Here is a 14,460-nt window from a genome sequence, read left to right as displayed (position 1 = left end):
ATGTGGATGCTCTGCCACTGCAGGCCTCATCTTCAACATAGTCTCATCCCTTCTAAAACAAATTATCCATTTGTAAACTAGAATTTCTTTGTAGCATTGTCCCCATAAACTGTTCATAAAGTGTCAATTATTTCATTATTCTTCCATCCAAACTTCATCATCAATTTGATATTTGTTTTTGCTTCAGTTTTAGCAGAATTCATGTTGCTCTGATAGGGGCTGTTTTCGAACTATCCTTTTTAGTGCCTCAAACTAGATTCTGTTCAGACATGTGATAATAAGTTAGTATGAGTTTATTTTGGTGCAAAAATTTGAAACCCATGCATAGTTTTTAAATAATACATACTTTTCATGAACTTTTTGAAGATCCCTTGTCTTAACCTCTCTGTGCCTCAATTTTCTCATTTGCTAAATGTAAATGAAAATAATACTAACCTTCCTTTCATAAGGTTGTTTAATGAACAAATAGACATAACATACTTAGAACAGTCCCAGGCACATAGTAACATTCAATAAATGTTCTTATTTTTTCCATCACTGTGTGACAGAGATATTCTGAATTTTGCAATAGCAAGGATGAAAGCACACACATTAAGTTCTATTAAAATGTCAGGTATTATTTATTGTTAGGAGGATGGAGAAGGTGAGTGTTTTAGTCAGGAGTCTGAGTTGCAAATGACAGAAACTTGAATCACAGGGACATTAAGTCACCTATCCAAGGTCACGAAAGTCATGGTGTAATCAAGCTATAGTTCAAATCCAGGAAGTCTTGCAACAAGCCCATGTTCTTAACCGCTGTGCTGTTCTGCTCTTCTGTGAACCGAGTGCTGTGAGAGCATAGATATTGGAACTGACCAGGACTTTAGGGTGGGGGTCACAGGATAAAAATGGCCTTTACAAGATGAGTCATAATTCACTAGATGAAGAAGCAGAAGAATGTTCCTGGCAAAAGGAAAAGCATGTGCAAAGGCCCAGAGAATGACAAGCAGCGTAGACTGCTGAGAGAACTGTGTCCAAGATAACAGAGAAAGTGGGGAATGTGGGAAGCCTGTACTGGGACACACTGATAAGCTTTGAATGCCATGACTGTGAGTCTGGGGGCCATGGGGAGCCAGAGGAGGTGTTTGAGCAGGGGAGTGACATAATCTGAAGTGCATTTTAGAAGTATTCCTTTGACTGCTTATGTGGAGGATTCATGAAGACAAGTGCAAAAGTTGAGAAATAGTCTCAGTGAAAGCTGATGAAGTTTGACCTTAGTCAAGGGCAGTGCAGATGGAGAGGAGAGACCTAAAGACTCAGGCTCTAATGACAGAGCTTGGACTCTATTGTATCAGATCATGCCTGGGACCTCTCTCAACTGGGTTTGGCTCAGATAAACCCCAAATCCAGCTGGAGGACATGAGCCTTTTTTTGACTCAAATACAAAAGAGGCTTCCAGCATAGGCAAGAAGGCAGTCCCTCTCCTTCTCTGTGCCAAACACCTCTCAAATCCTAGCTCGGAAAGATGTCACCCTGTCTGAGAAGGCTTCTGTCTTAGATTGGGTCTTCAGAAGGACCCTGAGACAACAATTTGACTGCAAGGAATTTGGGGGCAGTGGAGAAGGGAAACAGTGAAGAGCATGGAAGAAATACAAGTGTGCCAATGAAGAGGTTACTACCAGCAGCAGTGACTCAGCCTTACTGGGGACTTCTGGGAAATGGTATTCGACATGCCTCAGTTATCCCACTGAAAGGCAACTGAAGTTCGTGGCTAGGAGCTACTCCTGGAGTGTTATTTCTTGGCAGTCTTGGCCAAGTGTGCTTCTGAAACCGGAGAAATCTGAAGACGTCACTGGTGTGAACAGGAATGATGGGCACTGAAGCGAGAGACGGAGGACTGTCTTAGTCCATTTGGGCTACTATAACAAAATACCTTAGACTGGGTGATATTTAAACAATAGAAATATATTGCTTACAGTTCTGGGGGCTGTGAAGTTCAAGATCAAGGCACTGGCAGATTCAGTGCCTGGTGGGGCCTTGCTCTTTGCTTCAAAGACAGTGCCTTATTGCTGTGTCCTCACATGGCAGAAGGAAGGCTCTTAGGCCCTTTTTATGAGGAAACTAATCCTATTAGTGAGGGCAGAGCCCTCACGACCTAATCACCTCCCAAAGTCCCTGCCTCTTATTACCACTACAATGGGGATGAGGATTCCATGTATGAATCTGGGGGGACAGAAACACTGAGACCATAGCAAGGAGGTGCTGAGGTGTCTGCCCTTCTCAGACCCCACTGGCTGACACAGCTGCCTTTCACCTTTGCTCCATAGCTCACTGTCTTAAACTCTGTTTTAGCCCTTGTCTCTCTGGGAGGTGAATGATTTGTCTTCATGTCTGTCTCCTTGAGCAGTGGAAGCATATGAACCAAGGATGGGCTAGGCACCAAACCTTGAATGCCTAGTAGAGGGGTGGACTACAGTCTAGGAATCTAGGACCAGGGATGGGCTGGGCACCAAACCTTGAATGCCAAGTAGCGGTGTGGACTACAGTCTAGGGGTCTAGGTGTCTCATAATAGACCTAAGATGAAAGTGAAACATCTTATAGTCATATCATTTTCAAAACGCAAAGATGAGGATTGTCTGAAGGGGTCCAAGAGTTAATTTATGGTATGTCTGGGCTTCTGTGGGAATTTGAGACTATAATCTCCACCGAGGACTCATATTTACAAATTGGGATACCTGTTGGTCTGGTGAGTGGTACACAGAACAGGATACATGGGGCATTCCTTCTTGGGTCAGCAGGAAGATTTGATAGAAAGTAATTGTATATTTTTAAAAGCACGAATTCATTGTGGAGCAGGATACCAAGCATGGGTGGAAGAAAGTCAGTTTTGCGCAGAATGTGATGCAGATTTCCTGGCCCAGGGGGTGATACATGGATGTTCTTCTGCCTGGAGGCCCACAGTGGTGTGCTGCAGCCAGCTTATGCTGGCTTGGGAAATGTGCTTGTCAAATTTTTAGGAATTCTAATAGCCAGTTATTAAATACAGACCTTAATACACACACACACACACACACGCACACACACACACACACACAAGTTTTTCAGAGAGCCAATTGTTCAACATTTACCAACACACATCTGTTGTTTGAGGGATATTTGGCAGAAAGAGCCTGGGAAGGTGATTTGGGTTTGAGAAGCACTGTAGTTTTTTTTTGTTTGGTTTTTAGAGACCAGGTTTCACTGTGTTGCCCAGGCTGGACTTGAACTCCTGGCCTCAAGCAATCATCTTCCCTAAGCCTCCCAAGTACCTGGGACTATAGGCACCTGACTAAGAACTGTTTATTGGTTGGCATGGCCAGATTTACTTGTTAAAAATTTAGGCTATGTCTTAGTCATTTTCCTTGTACCAGCTTCCAGCCCAGGGCATAAAATGTGGTCAGGAATAAAGTTTGCTAAATGGATGGATGAATGAATGATAGCTTGGATCAAGCTTTTTCTCTAAGTTGTAGAAACATGTTTTCATCATTCAACAGATATTTTGAGTGCCTACAATGTGCCAGGAACTGTTCTTGGCACTGGGAACACAATCCCTGCTCTCCTAGAGCTTGCATTCTAATAGAGGAGAAAACATATAAAGCTATAAAATCTGCTTTCAGGTGGTAACCGGTTACATAAAAGAACATGAAGCAGGATAATGGGCTGGAGACAGAGTTTCATGCTGCTTTTGTACCAGGAGCCAAGACTCAAGAGGAGAGGTGGCTCCATCTCTCCAAAGTTGTATGTCTTCAGGAAGGCCCCTTTGGCTCTCTGAGCTGTGGAAACCGATTGTTCCCAGCTGATATTCAGGTTCCCAGCCTAAGAAGGCTGAGGTGGCCTTGGCCAAGTCTGAAGCCTTTGGTACACTGGCTCCCCAGGTGGTTACTAAAGCTCTGTAGGCAGAATGTTGGGATTCCAGGAGCTTCTCTAAACAGGGTGCTGTTTATTGTGCCACTGCTTCCCCACATCCTTGTTTGCTGTGCTGTATACCTGGGACGGGCCTGCCCTCTATCTCTGTGGAATTCTGGGATGATGCCCTTTGGCTCCAAGCACACATTGAGGCTTTTCCAACAAAAGGGTCTCAGCTTCTTGTTGGGGGAGCTTTGGGGTTCTGGAAACGGCTCTGACATCCACCTGCTGACTCATTCTTCCCCTCTCTGGTCCCAGTCTCCACATCTGTAGAGCCAGGGAAATGATAGGGGCTTGGTGATGATCTGATGATCTGCCATTGAATCCCCAAATCGGGGAGGTTTAGGGGCTGCCAGGATAGGTGGAAGGGAGGGAGAGAACAGAGAAGCCCATCGACAGCTCTTTTTCTCACTTCTCCAGAAGAGTGCCTTTTTTTCTGATTTTTACATTCAAAGTTTGTCTGTTTTATATACTGAGATTCAACATACAATTTTGCTTGAACAAAGGGCTGGGGGTTATAAGTATTTATGGACTCTGGTCTTGTGATTCTCAAAGATATCTTACCTCTGAGATGCAGGATCTGCCTCATTTGAGAAACTGAAAGGATGATGACAAATCAAAACTTAGAGAATTTTTGGTTGTGGAGTTTGATTCTGTATTATTCTTTTTGCTTTCAACCTTTAGTGTGTGTGTCCAATAACCTGGGTTCTTGGGATATTCATTCCAAGTTGAGTTAATTTGTTTTGCAGTTGTTCTTCTCTGGCCCCCAGGAAATAAATTTTAGGTATCCTGAAGGATAACTTTGTATTAACTGTGGCAGCTTATTTAATTTTTTCTCTAAAACAATGTATCTTAAGTCAATAGGAAAATAGGATGTGCTGTACAGAAATTCTCCCAGCGGGAGACTTTTTGCACATCTATAAATTTCATGAATGAATGTGAGCACTGATAGAAAAGCTAAGGGACTTGGGAATCTGGACATTTTCCAATGTAGGGTGTATTAAGCAGAGTCTCGGGATGTGTTTTTCAAGGTATGGAAATTGGTGACAGTGTGTCTCCCCCATCTCAGTAAATGACAACCCCACCTTCCCTGAGACCAACAACTTGGAATTGCCCTTGGTTTCTCTCTTTGCCTCACATATCACAACAGATCTATCAGCCAAGCTGTCAGACGTGATCTTGGAAATTGATCGAGAATTCAACTACTTCTCACTACCTACAACTGCCAGCAATGGGCCCTGGTGGCCGGTGTCTGTTGCCTGGATTGTTGTCACAGTTGTCTGATGGGTCTCCGTGGTCCCTCCCTGGCCTCCCTGTAAGATGGATTAACTAATCATAGCATCCCCCACGTAACCTGATACCTGTCCTGTTTCGCTGAGGATATGTTCTATGAGGGTGGCTCTTAGGATGGTGCGCTGTTTGATGTCCTATGGACATGGAATAAAGTTAACAAAACTTACTATAAAGTAAGAGCCATAAGATGGCTCCAGACAGGACCAAATCCAAGAAAAAGTTCATGTTTCCTAGAATATGCAAGATCGTTGCCTTGAAAGGACATAAGAAAGCAAGGGCAGGGCAGGAATAGTTTCATTCCAACAGTGATCATGCAAATAATAGGACATTAAGTATTATGAATCCTGTGGGACACGGATGCATCAGATGTGAAGTCATTGTCATTATCACTCTCATTATGAGAACAGGTGTGTAGTTTGACAGGTTTTGACAAATGTGCACACCAATGTAGCTACCACTCCAATCTAGGTATAGAACATTGCCATCAGCCCAAAAGTTTCCTCTGTGCTCCTCTGCAACCCCTACCTATGCCCCCACAACATAGACCTTCCACCCTAGCCTTGGCAACCACTGATTAGATTTAAATTACTTTGTCTGCCTTTCATTGGGTCTAATATTTAGCTGAGAACAGCAGCAGGGCACTTGTATGAAGGTCTGGCTGTGGAGGTAGATTGCTTTGGTCTACCCTGGTCTGCACAGCCATTACCTTGCTAACCACCTCCTTGCACCTCAGTTTCCTAATCCATCAAATGGGGGTAATAATCATACCTACATCACTAGGATTTTGTTAGGAATAAATAGCACCTGGTACTTAATAGCCCAACAGATGTCAGCTGTTGTTATTGTTTATGGAGTATGCATTATGTGTTGGGCATTGCACTAAGTACCGTGTAAGGATGTGGCAGTTGCTCCCTGTCCCAACTCCACACCCCCACTGGTGCTCACCATTTCCGCACACACTAGTAGCTTCCTACTGCCTCTGAGATGGACTGCGGGAGTATTTCCCCTGGCTGCAGGAGCATGCTCAGTCTGCACATAAGGATGCCGGAAGTGCTGAAAGTTAATGCTCCCAGTATCAGCCCTCAACCAATGATGGCCAGGAGTTGGCAGATAAATGCTCCAACTTCCTTGCCTCCAGTTGAGACAACTCTAAGGCATGATATGCCCTGTCCCCCAGGGTTCCCCATCAGAATTGAGCTTCAGGTGTCCACAGTGGTAACCTTCTCATGGGACATACACTGAAGCATGGTCTGCCCTGTCCCCATCAGAATTGAGATCCAGGTGTCCACAGTGGTAACCTTCTCATGGGACACTCTCTGGATTGGCTTCCTTCTGTTTCATTTCCCCATTGTCCTTCCAGAACCTCCTGGGATCCTCTATCAAGTAAACTATTTTCATTCTCGTCTTTATCTCTAAGACAACAATGTATTTCATTTCATTCTCAAACAGTCCTATGAGGTGAACCAAAATAGCTTCCTCATTTTATAATTGAGCAAAATGAGGCTTAGAAAGGTGATGCCACCTGCTTTAAGTCAACGCCTTAGGCACACACCTGCTCCACTGCTGCCCTGAGAACAAGCCGGGGCAGGCCCTGCCGCAGGCCTCCTTCCCCCTCTGCCCCCAGCCCAGGCCTCCTTCCCCCTCTGCCCTGAGCCCTGGGCCTCCTTCCCCTTCTGCCCCGAGCCCCGCTGACCCTCTGAGCATGCATCTCCTCCTGCAGGAAGGCCGCTGCTTGTTTGTCATCCTGCTCATGGCGGTGTACTGGTGCACGGAGGCCCTGCCGCTCTCAGTGACGGCGCTGCTGCCCATCGTCCTCTTCCCCTTCATGGGCATCTTGCCCTCCAACAAGGTCTGCCCCCAGTACTTCCTCGACACCAACTTCCTCTTCCTCAGTGGGCTGATCATGGCCAGCGCCATTGAGGAGTGGAACCTGCACCGGCGAATCGCCCTCAAGATCCTGATGCTTGTTGGAGTCCAGCCGGCCAGGTAAGAACAGGTAATGGTTCCAGCCCTACAGCGGAGAGGCAGAGGGACCACACCTCTGGAGCCTATACCTGCTCTTCTTGATTTACTCGTCCAGGCCAAGAAACTCATCGGTTCCCACCATTTATTTATTTATTTATTTATTTATTTATTTATTTATTTCTCTACTATTTAGCAAGCACCTGCTGCATGCTAGACACAGCACTAGGCCCATCATGGGCAGCTGTTCTCAAAGGTGCAGAAGAATCACCTGGGAACATGAGCTGCTGACCCCCAGGCCCCACCCCCAGGGATTCCAGTCCCATAGTTTTGGAGGGGGCCACACTGACAGTTTGACCCTGACTGCTCAGGGCTGAATCCCAGGTGACCTGCTCTGAAAAATAACTTAACCTCTGTCTGCCTGTGAAATAGTGATGTAGTGGCACCCACCTCATAGAGTTTAGTGAGGATTAGATGAGCAAATGCAGGCAAATCCCCTGGACCTGAGCAGGCAATGCTGGCTGTTAGCATTCTTGTTTGCTATTTACCTGCCTAGATGATGAAGATCAGGTGGGAGTTGAAGGTGGGGGGATGCAGAGGATGTGGGAAGATGGGCTTGAAGGGAAAGGGAGGCAGGGTTACAATCCTAAAGAGCCTCGGGCACTCTGGCTAGGATTTGGACTTTTATTCTTAGAGAATTGGGTGGCCTTTAAAATAGGGGTTTTATTTTCATCTTATTTTTTGTTCCATAAACCCTTTTGGCAATTTGGTGAATCTTAAGGATCTTCCCAGAATAATGTTTTTAAATGCATAATGCACAACAGAGTTTGAAACAACAGCTACAGCAAAATGCAATTATCTAATTTTTTTTTTTTTGAACACAGACACCTGTGCCCTGGTACAGGTAGGTACTGTTTTATTAACACCGCAAACGGCAAGACCGAGTGATAGGCCTAATCACACCCATAATGTTGAGCAGTTTTGAGTGTCGATGATATTTCAAGATGTCTGCAGTGATTATAATGTCATATAAAAATATCAGGGATCTTGCCGGGCGCAGTGTAATCCCAGCCTGTAATCCCAGCACTTTGGGAGGCTGAGGCAGGTGGATTGCTTGAGGCCAGGAGTTCAAGACCAGCCTGGCTAACATGGTAAAACCCCTGTCTCTACCAAAAATACAAAAAATTCACTGGGCGTGGTGGCGCATGCCTGTGATCCCAGCTACTCAGAAAGCTGAGGTGGGCGGATCGCTTGAACCCAGGAGGCGGATGTTGCAGTGAGCCAAGATCACGCCACTCACTGTACTCCAACCTCAGTAACAGTGAGACCCTGTCTCAAAAAAAAAAAAAAAAAAAAAAAGCAAAGAGAGAGAGAAAGAGAGAAAGAAAGAAAAGAAAAGACAGAAAGAAAAAAAAGAAAGAGAAAATGTCAGGGATTTTTTTTTGGGTGACAGAGCCTCAGGCACTGCTCATACACCTCAACTTTGTTGCCTGTTTATCCCTGAAGGAAATGCTTAATTTGATTAGATGTTAGCAAAATGAGGATACACATTTTCTCCCAATCCAGTTCTGAATTATATCCATAGACTTATAAATCTGTGCTTTAAAGGGTTCTAAGCTGAGGAATGACATGGCCAGATTTGCATTTTATTTCAAATACGTCTCATTTCCTTCAGATTTGCATTTTTTAAAGATTCGTCTTAGCTGCCTTGTAGAGGTCAGACAGGAGGGTACGGGCATGAGAAGCTGATACATCCCAGTTAGAAGGCCATTTAGAGTGTCCCGACAAGAGACAGTAGCAGCTTGGACTAGGAGGTGGCAGTGGAGATGAACAGATTGGATAGATTTGAGAGTAATTTGGGTGATAAAATTGACACAGGGGAGGGCGTAGGAAAAGAAGGTTCTGGATGACTCCTAGGTTTCTAGCATTATCTCTGTGCCATCTGCTCTGCTAGGCTCTGTAGCTGCGCCTCCTCCTGGAGGAGCTGCCAGTCCTGTGGGACAGACTCCATCTATGGAACTAATTCCAATGCCAAGTGGAATTTGATCTCCAAGGGGCACATCATGGTGTGAGAGCCCACATGAGAGGTAGGGAGATAGGGGGAAACTTCCTGGAGGAGGTCACATTTGAGCTTGACTTTGAATAATGAGTAGGGCTGCTCTTAAACATATTCTAAAATTACAATAATTAAAACAGTAAGACACAAGTCTGGAAACAGATTTTTGAAACAGAATAAATCTATAGGAAACCCAAATCCGAAGGAAGGATTTTCCAATAAATGGTGAGAGTTGGGATAATTGGTTTCTTCTATTAAAAAATTTACATCTTACTTTGTACTATGCATCTAAGTAAATTCCAGGTGGATTCAGAGTTCAATATAAAGAGAAAAAATCCTGATACTTAGATTCTGTTGGTGGGAATGGACCAAGCAAAGGCAGGGAGGCAGGGGAGTAAAGGTGTTGGGTGCGGGTGAGAAGTTCAGCAGAGTCGCAGCAGGGAGTAGCTGGTAAGAGGAGGGGAAAAGAGGGAGGAAGCTGAGAAGGCCATGAGGGAAAGATAGTGGAGTGTCTTGGTGCCCCGGCAACTTTATTCTGAAATGGGTATCATTGAGGATTTGAGGGCAAGAAAGAGAAAACGTCAGGCTTGGGATGTCTTTATAACCTGGGTACCTATGGACAGTTCACTTAAACACACTGAACCACAGTTTTCTTAGATCTAAAATAAACCTGGTGAGTGGATTTGGTTTCTGCTTTGAGTCTCAAGTTTCCATCTGTAAAATGGATGGATTGTATTCCTCAGGGATGGCAAACTGGGACCAGAGGATCTCCTGGGCCCTGGGTTCTGGATTTGCCTCTAATGCCATCTGCTCTGCAGGCTCATCCTGGGGATGATGGTGACCACCTCGTTCTTGTCCATGTGGCTGAGCAACACCGCCTCCACTGCCATGATGCTTCCCATTGCCAATGCCATCCTGAAAAGTCTCTTTGGCCAGAAGGAGGTTCGAAAGGACCCCAGCCAGGAGAGTGAAGAGAACACAGGTGAGGCTGTGCTAAGGGATTGGGGCCAAATCCACCAGGATTTGGAAGTGGGAATGGGATGTCCAAAGGATGTTAGGGAAGGCCAAGGGCATGCACACTTATTGAGCACCTACTATGCGTCAGGTGTTTTAGTTATGACAATGACTGATAATTAGATAAGAAATCATGGTACCTTGGTTGTTTAAAATTTGCATTTATTAAGCACATACTGTATACTGAGCAGTGAGTTGAACTCTTTACATACATTATCTTCCTTAACTCTCAAAACAGCTCTATGAAGTAAGTACTATAATTAAACCTTGTTTTACAGCATTCAAAGAGATGCTCAGCATCACCAGTACTCAGAGAAATGCAAATTGAAACAATAACATTTTAATCAATGAGACAGGCAGAAATAAGGAAGCTGATGAATCCCCATGTTGACAGGAATAGGGGCCACAGGAACTTTCGTGTACTGCTAGAAAGAGTGTGGACTGGGTTAGAGTTTCTTAAGGATCTTGTGCAAGGATTTAATCACATTAAATGTGTTTATACTCTGTAACCCAGCAGTTTTGCTCCCAGACACCAAAGGAATTCTCCTATAGGTCCAGGAGGGAACGCACATAGTGATATTCACTGTAGCGCTCTCTGTGGTGTGGGAAGTTGGTGGCTACATGCACTTTATTGCTAGTACAGGCAAAGGCAAATATGGTGGATACATGCCATTGAGCATTATGCTCCTTTTAAAAGAGAGAAGAATTAGTGAACCATGTACTTCTATAAATGGATCTCATAGAGCAGTTATGATTGGAGGTAAAAACCAGAATGAGATCTAGAATACAACCTCAATATGTAAGCTGAAAATACACATGAACGACAAAAGATTTTGTAAGCAATGTATGATGAAAAGCTACACATTAAACATATCAGAATGGTTGCTATGGAAAGGGTGAGAGTGGGAAATGGGGAGAGAAAGGACTAAAAAGACCCAATCAATTATAGGAAAGAGAGGCTTTGTGAAGTAAATAGTGATAACGTATTATGAACGGAGGGATTTGATTCCCTCAATCCTCTGAAATTATGTTCTTAATAAAACAAAACATACACAGCCATTGTATTTTTAGGTGACTACATACAGTCTCCAAGAGGGAAATGATTTTCCCAAATTACACAGTGAAGTTAAAGAAGTCCAGGATCAATTCAGAGGCACAATGACGTCATGATTTTTCATTGGCAACTCTGGTTCCCCTGGTCTTATGGTTGCAAAGTGGCTGCCACATCATGTCACTTTAAAATGTCTTACTTTTAATTTACATAACTGTATTTTAAAAGGAAGATTTGAATTGATACATATGTGGGCAGAAATGGCTAGTTTAACCCCGGCATTGATTCTTCCTTTGTTCTTTTAGGAATAGAACCCAATACTTTCCTCTCTGAGGAAAGGCTGAAACTTCAAGCTCCCCTTGTGATAAGACTTGGTCAGATAACTGAGTCTGGTCAATGGAATATGAGTGGAAATGATGTGTGCAACTTCCGGGTTCTGTCCTTCCTGCCGGGTGGAATGTGAATATGATGGCACCTGGGACCCAAAGACAGGAGCCACATCTTGAGAGATAGATGGCAGATCTGCCCCTGTGGCTTTGGATCATTTACCTCAGTGAACACAACAAGCATTATCCATGAAACCATAGGTTTTGTGTGCTAGTTCTAGTTTTTAAAATATGAATTAAATTAAATACGTATCTGTTAAAACTTAAATGTTGATCCGTGTACCATCTAAGTTAATCTCACTGACAGTCACATGAGTATTTCCCCGTCATACACTAAGGGGTCCTGCTTATTTTATTTTCACAGCAACCCTGAACACTAGAAATGATTATATGTACTTTACAGATGAAGTTTGGAGAGGTGAGATGATGTGTTGAGGATCATAGCATTGGCAAAGTGGCAGAGTCAGCTCTATGCAACGGCAGAGTCTTCCACGAGGAAGTGAAGAGAAGCTTTATAGCATGGATTAACAAACTTTGTCTATAAATGACCAAATAGTAAATACTGCAGGCTTTGTGGGCCACTCTGTTGCAACTACTCAACGCTGCCCTTGCAGTGAGAAAGCAGCCACAGATAAAACAAACAAGCAGGCGTGGCAATGTGACAAAAAAATTGTATTTATGGGTGCTGAAATTAAAATTTCATATAATTTTTGTATCAGGAAATATTCTTCCATAGATGTTTTTCAACCATTTGAAAATGTAGAAGCCATTCCTAGTTGGCAGGCCACACAAAAACAGGCGGTGGGCTGGATTGGGGCTGCATATTGTAGGTCACTGACCCCTGCTGTACAATATTGGCTTTCTTGATTTTCAAACTGTTTCCCTTAAGAGAACTGCCTGATGGTCACCCTGGGGTGGCAGCAAGCACCTGGGACTCTGCCCTTTTCCCCATTTCAACCCTAGTTAGACTCACTTTATTCATTTTGTACACTGGGCCTCTAAGCAATAATAACCAATGTTTACTGTGCACTTAGTTTATGCGCGGACTCTTAGGTGGACCTCATATCTGAATGAGACGGAGCAAGCATCGACCTCATTTACAGAAATGGAAATTGAGGAAGGAATTAAAAAGAGTCCTCCCACCCCCCGTTACGCAGTTTCCAAACTGTGGCTCTGGTATTTTGAATCCGGGCTGGCTGACTTCAGAGCCTACATTCTCAGGCTCCATTATTCTGCCTCCCACATGAGACTTTTTCCAAAGTGGTCAAGCAAATGATTGAAAGCCAAGTCCCTCATTGTGAGAATGAAAAATCTGAGACTCAGGAAGGGGAAGGGACTTGCCCAAGGCCACACACAGTGGTGGCCATGCATTGAAGTCCAGAGCCTTTTCCTATGCTGCAGGATGTCAAGAGGGAGGGGATCCTGGGGGTTGGGATAGATACCTACCTTTACAGGCCATGGGATCAGGGAGGAGCAGGAATTGGTTAATGATCAGCTTCTAAGACCTAAAACAAGGCTAATTCCAGTACAAAGAGAGCTATTCCCTTTCATCCAGTTCTGAGCTTTGACCAGGTGGCAGGAGGCGAGGACAGGGGTGGAGGGAGTAGAGATTCTGCCAGTGGGCTAGGAGAGGCACAAGGAAGTTCCTAGGAGCTATAGGTTCATGAAGGACATCTGTAGCACCAGCAGCAACCATAATCATCATGTGAGCTGAGCTCCCATTTTCTGAGTAACCACCACATGCAGATACCATGCTAATTTTTTTATACTCATTAGCTCATCTGATCTTCATAATTGTACTAGGAGGTAATGATGCCCATTTTATAGATGAGGAAACTGAGGCTCAGAGAAGCAAAATGATTTGCCCAAAGTAACACGATGATTTGCTGAGCTCTGTCAGAATCCAGAATCTGTGCTTATAAGCACCTTGCCATGGTGCCTGGTACAGAGGAGGCAGAACCTAGGGCAGGGTGGGGCTATCTGGATAAGACTCCAGAGGTCCTCAGACTTGGAGGGCAGCGCTGTTGCCTTTCTCCAGTTCCTTTGCTCAGTTCTGTGCCCTGCACTTCCTGGGGGACCCAGGGGCCATGTGAGTGATGGCTTCGCCAATGTCCCCCTGCATGCACGCTCTCATTAGGTCCTCCACCACAGCCCTGTGGGGAGGCACTATTAGCATGCCTGTTTTACAGATGAGGAAACTGAAGCTCACAGCCATGATAGGCCCAATGTTCCTTGGCCAGTAAGGGGCCCACCTGGATTTTGTTTTTGTTTTTTAGAGACAGGGTCTTCCTCTGTCTCCTAGGCTGGAGTGCAGTGGTGCATTCAGCTCGCTGCAGCCTCAAACTCCCAGGCTCAAGTGATCCTCTAGCCTCGGCCTCCCAAAGCACTGGGCTTACAGGCGTGAGCCACCATATCTGGCCTTCCACCTGGCTTTTGAATCTAAACTCTTTCCCCTCCTTTTCTCTGTCCATAGAAAGCTAACTTGCCATCTACATCTTTATTTTATAGGAAGGCCCAGGATGCCACCCTTCACAACACAAGGGTCTTTAATGTTGAGTGAAGCGTGGTGCTCATCCATATGCTAACCAACCTTCTGCAACTTTCCTCATCTATAAAACAAGGACACTGCCTCTTACGTGAGAAACGAGAGCCAGGTACATAGGAAGTGGTTAATATATGGCAGTTGTATTAAAAACTACCTATGAGACTTCCAGGCATTGGAGGCACAGGTAATAAGACCTCCTACCTCGTTCCACCTTGGTGTTTCCCCTCC

The 14,460-nt window shown here is 44.6% G+C and overlaps 1 protein-coding gene across 5 annotated transcripts in view; it reads left to right on the top strand.

Moving 5' to 3' along the window:
- The window catches only part of SLC13A3 (solute carrier family 13 member 3), a 126,658-nt gene that overhangs the window by 63,822 nt on the left and 48,376 nt on the right, over nucleotides 1-14,460 (top strand). For 4 of the 5 annotated variants that reach the window (NM_001193340.2, NM_001011554.3, NM_001193339.2 and 1 more), the window contains 2 exons: nucleotides 6,939-7,204; nucleotides 10,055-10,218. In NM_001193340.2, the coding sequence (NP_001180269.1) occupies nucleotides 6,969-7,204; nucleotides 10,055-10,218 (400 nt within the window). In that variant the 5' untranslated portion in view covers nucleotides 6,939-6,968. The remainder of the gene's footprint in view (nucleotides 1-6,938; nucleotides 7,205-10,054; nucleotides 10,219-14,460) is intronic. The other variant, NM_001193342.2, reaches the window with a different exon arrangement.

This window comes from Homo sapiens, chromosome 20 (assembly GCF_000001405.40).
Source record: "Homo sapiens chromosome 20, GRCh38.p14 Primary Assembly".
Classification (NCBI taxonomy): domain Eukaryota; kingdom Metazoa; phylum Chordata; class Mammalia; order Primates; family Hominidae; genus Homo; species Homo sapiens.
Note: the sequence above shows the minus strand (reverse complement) of the source record. Positions and strands in the feature narration are given on the sequence as shown.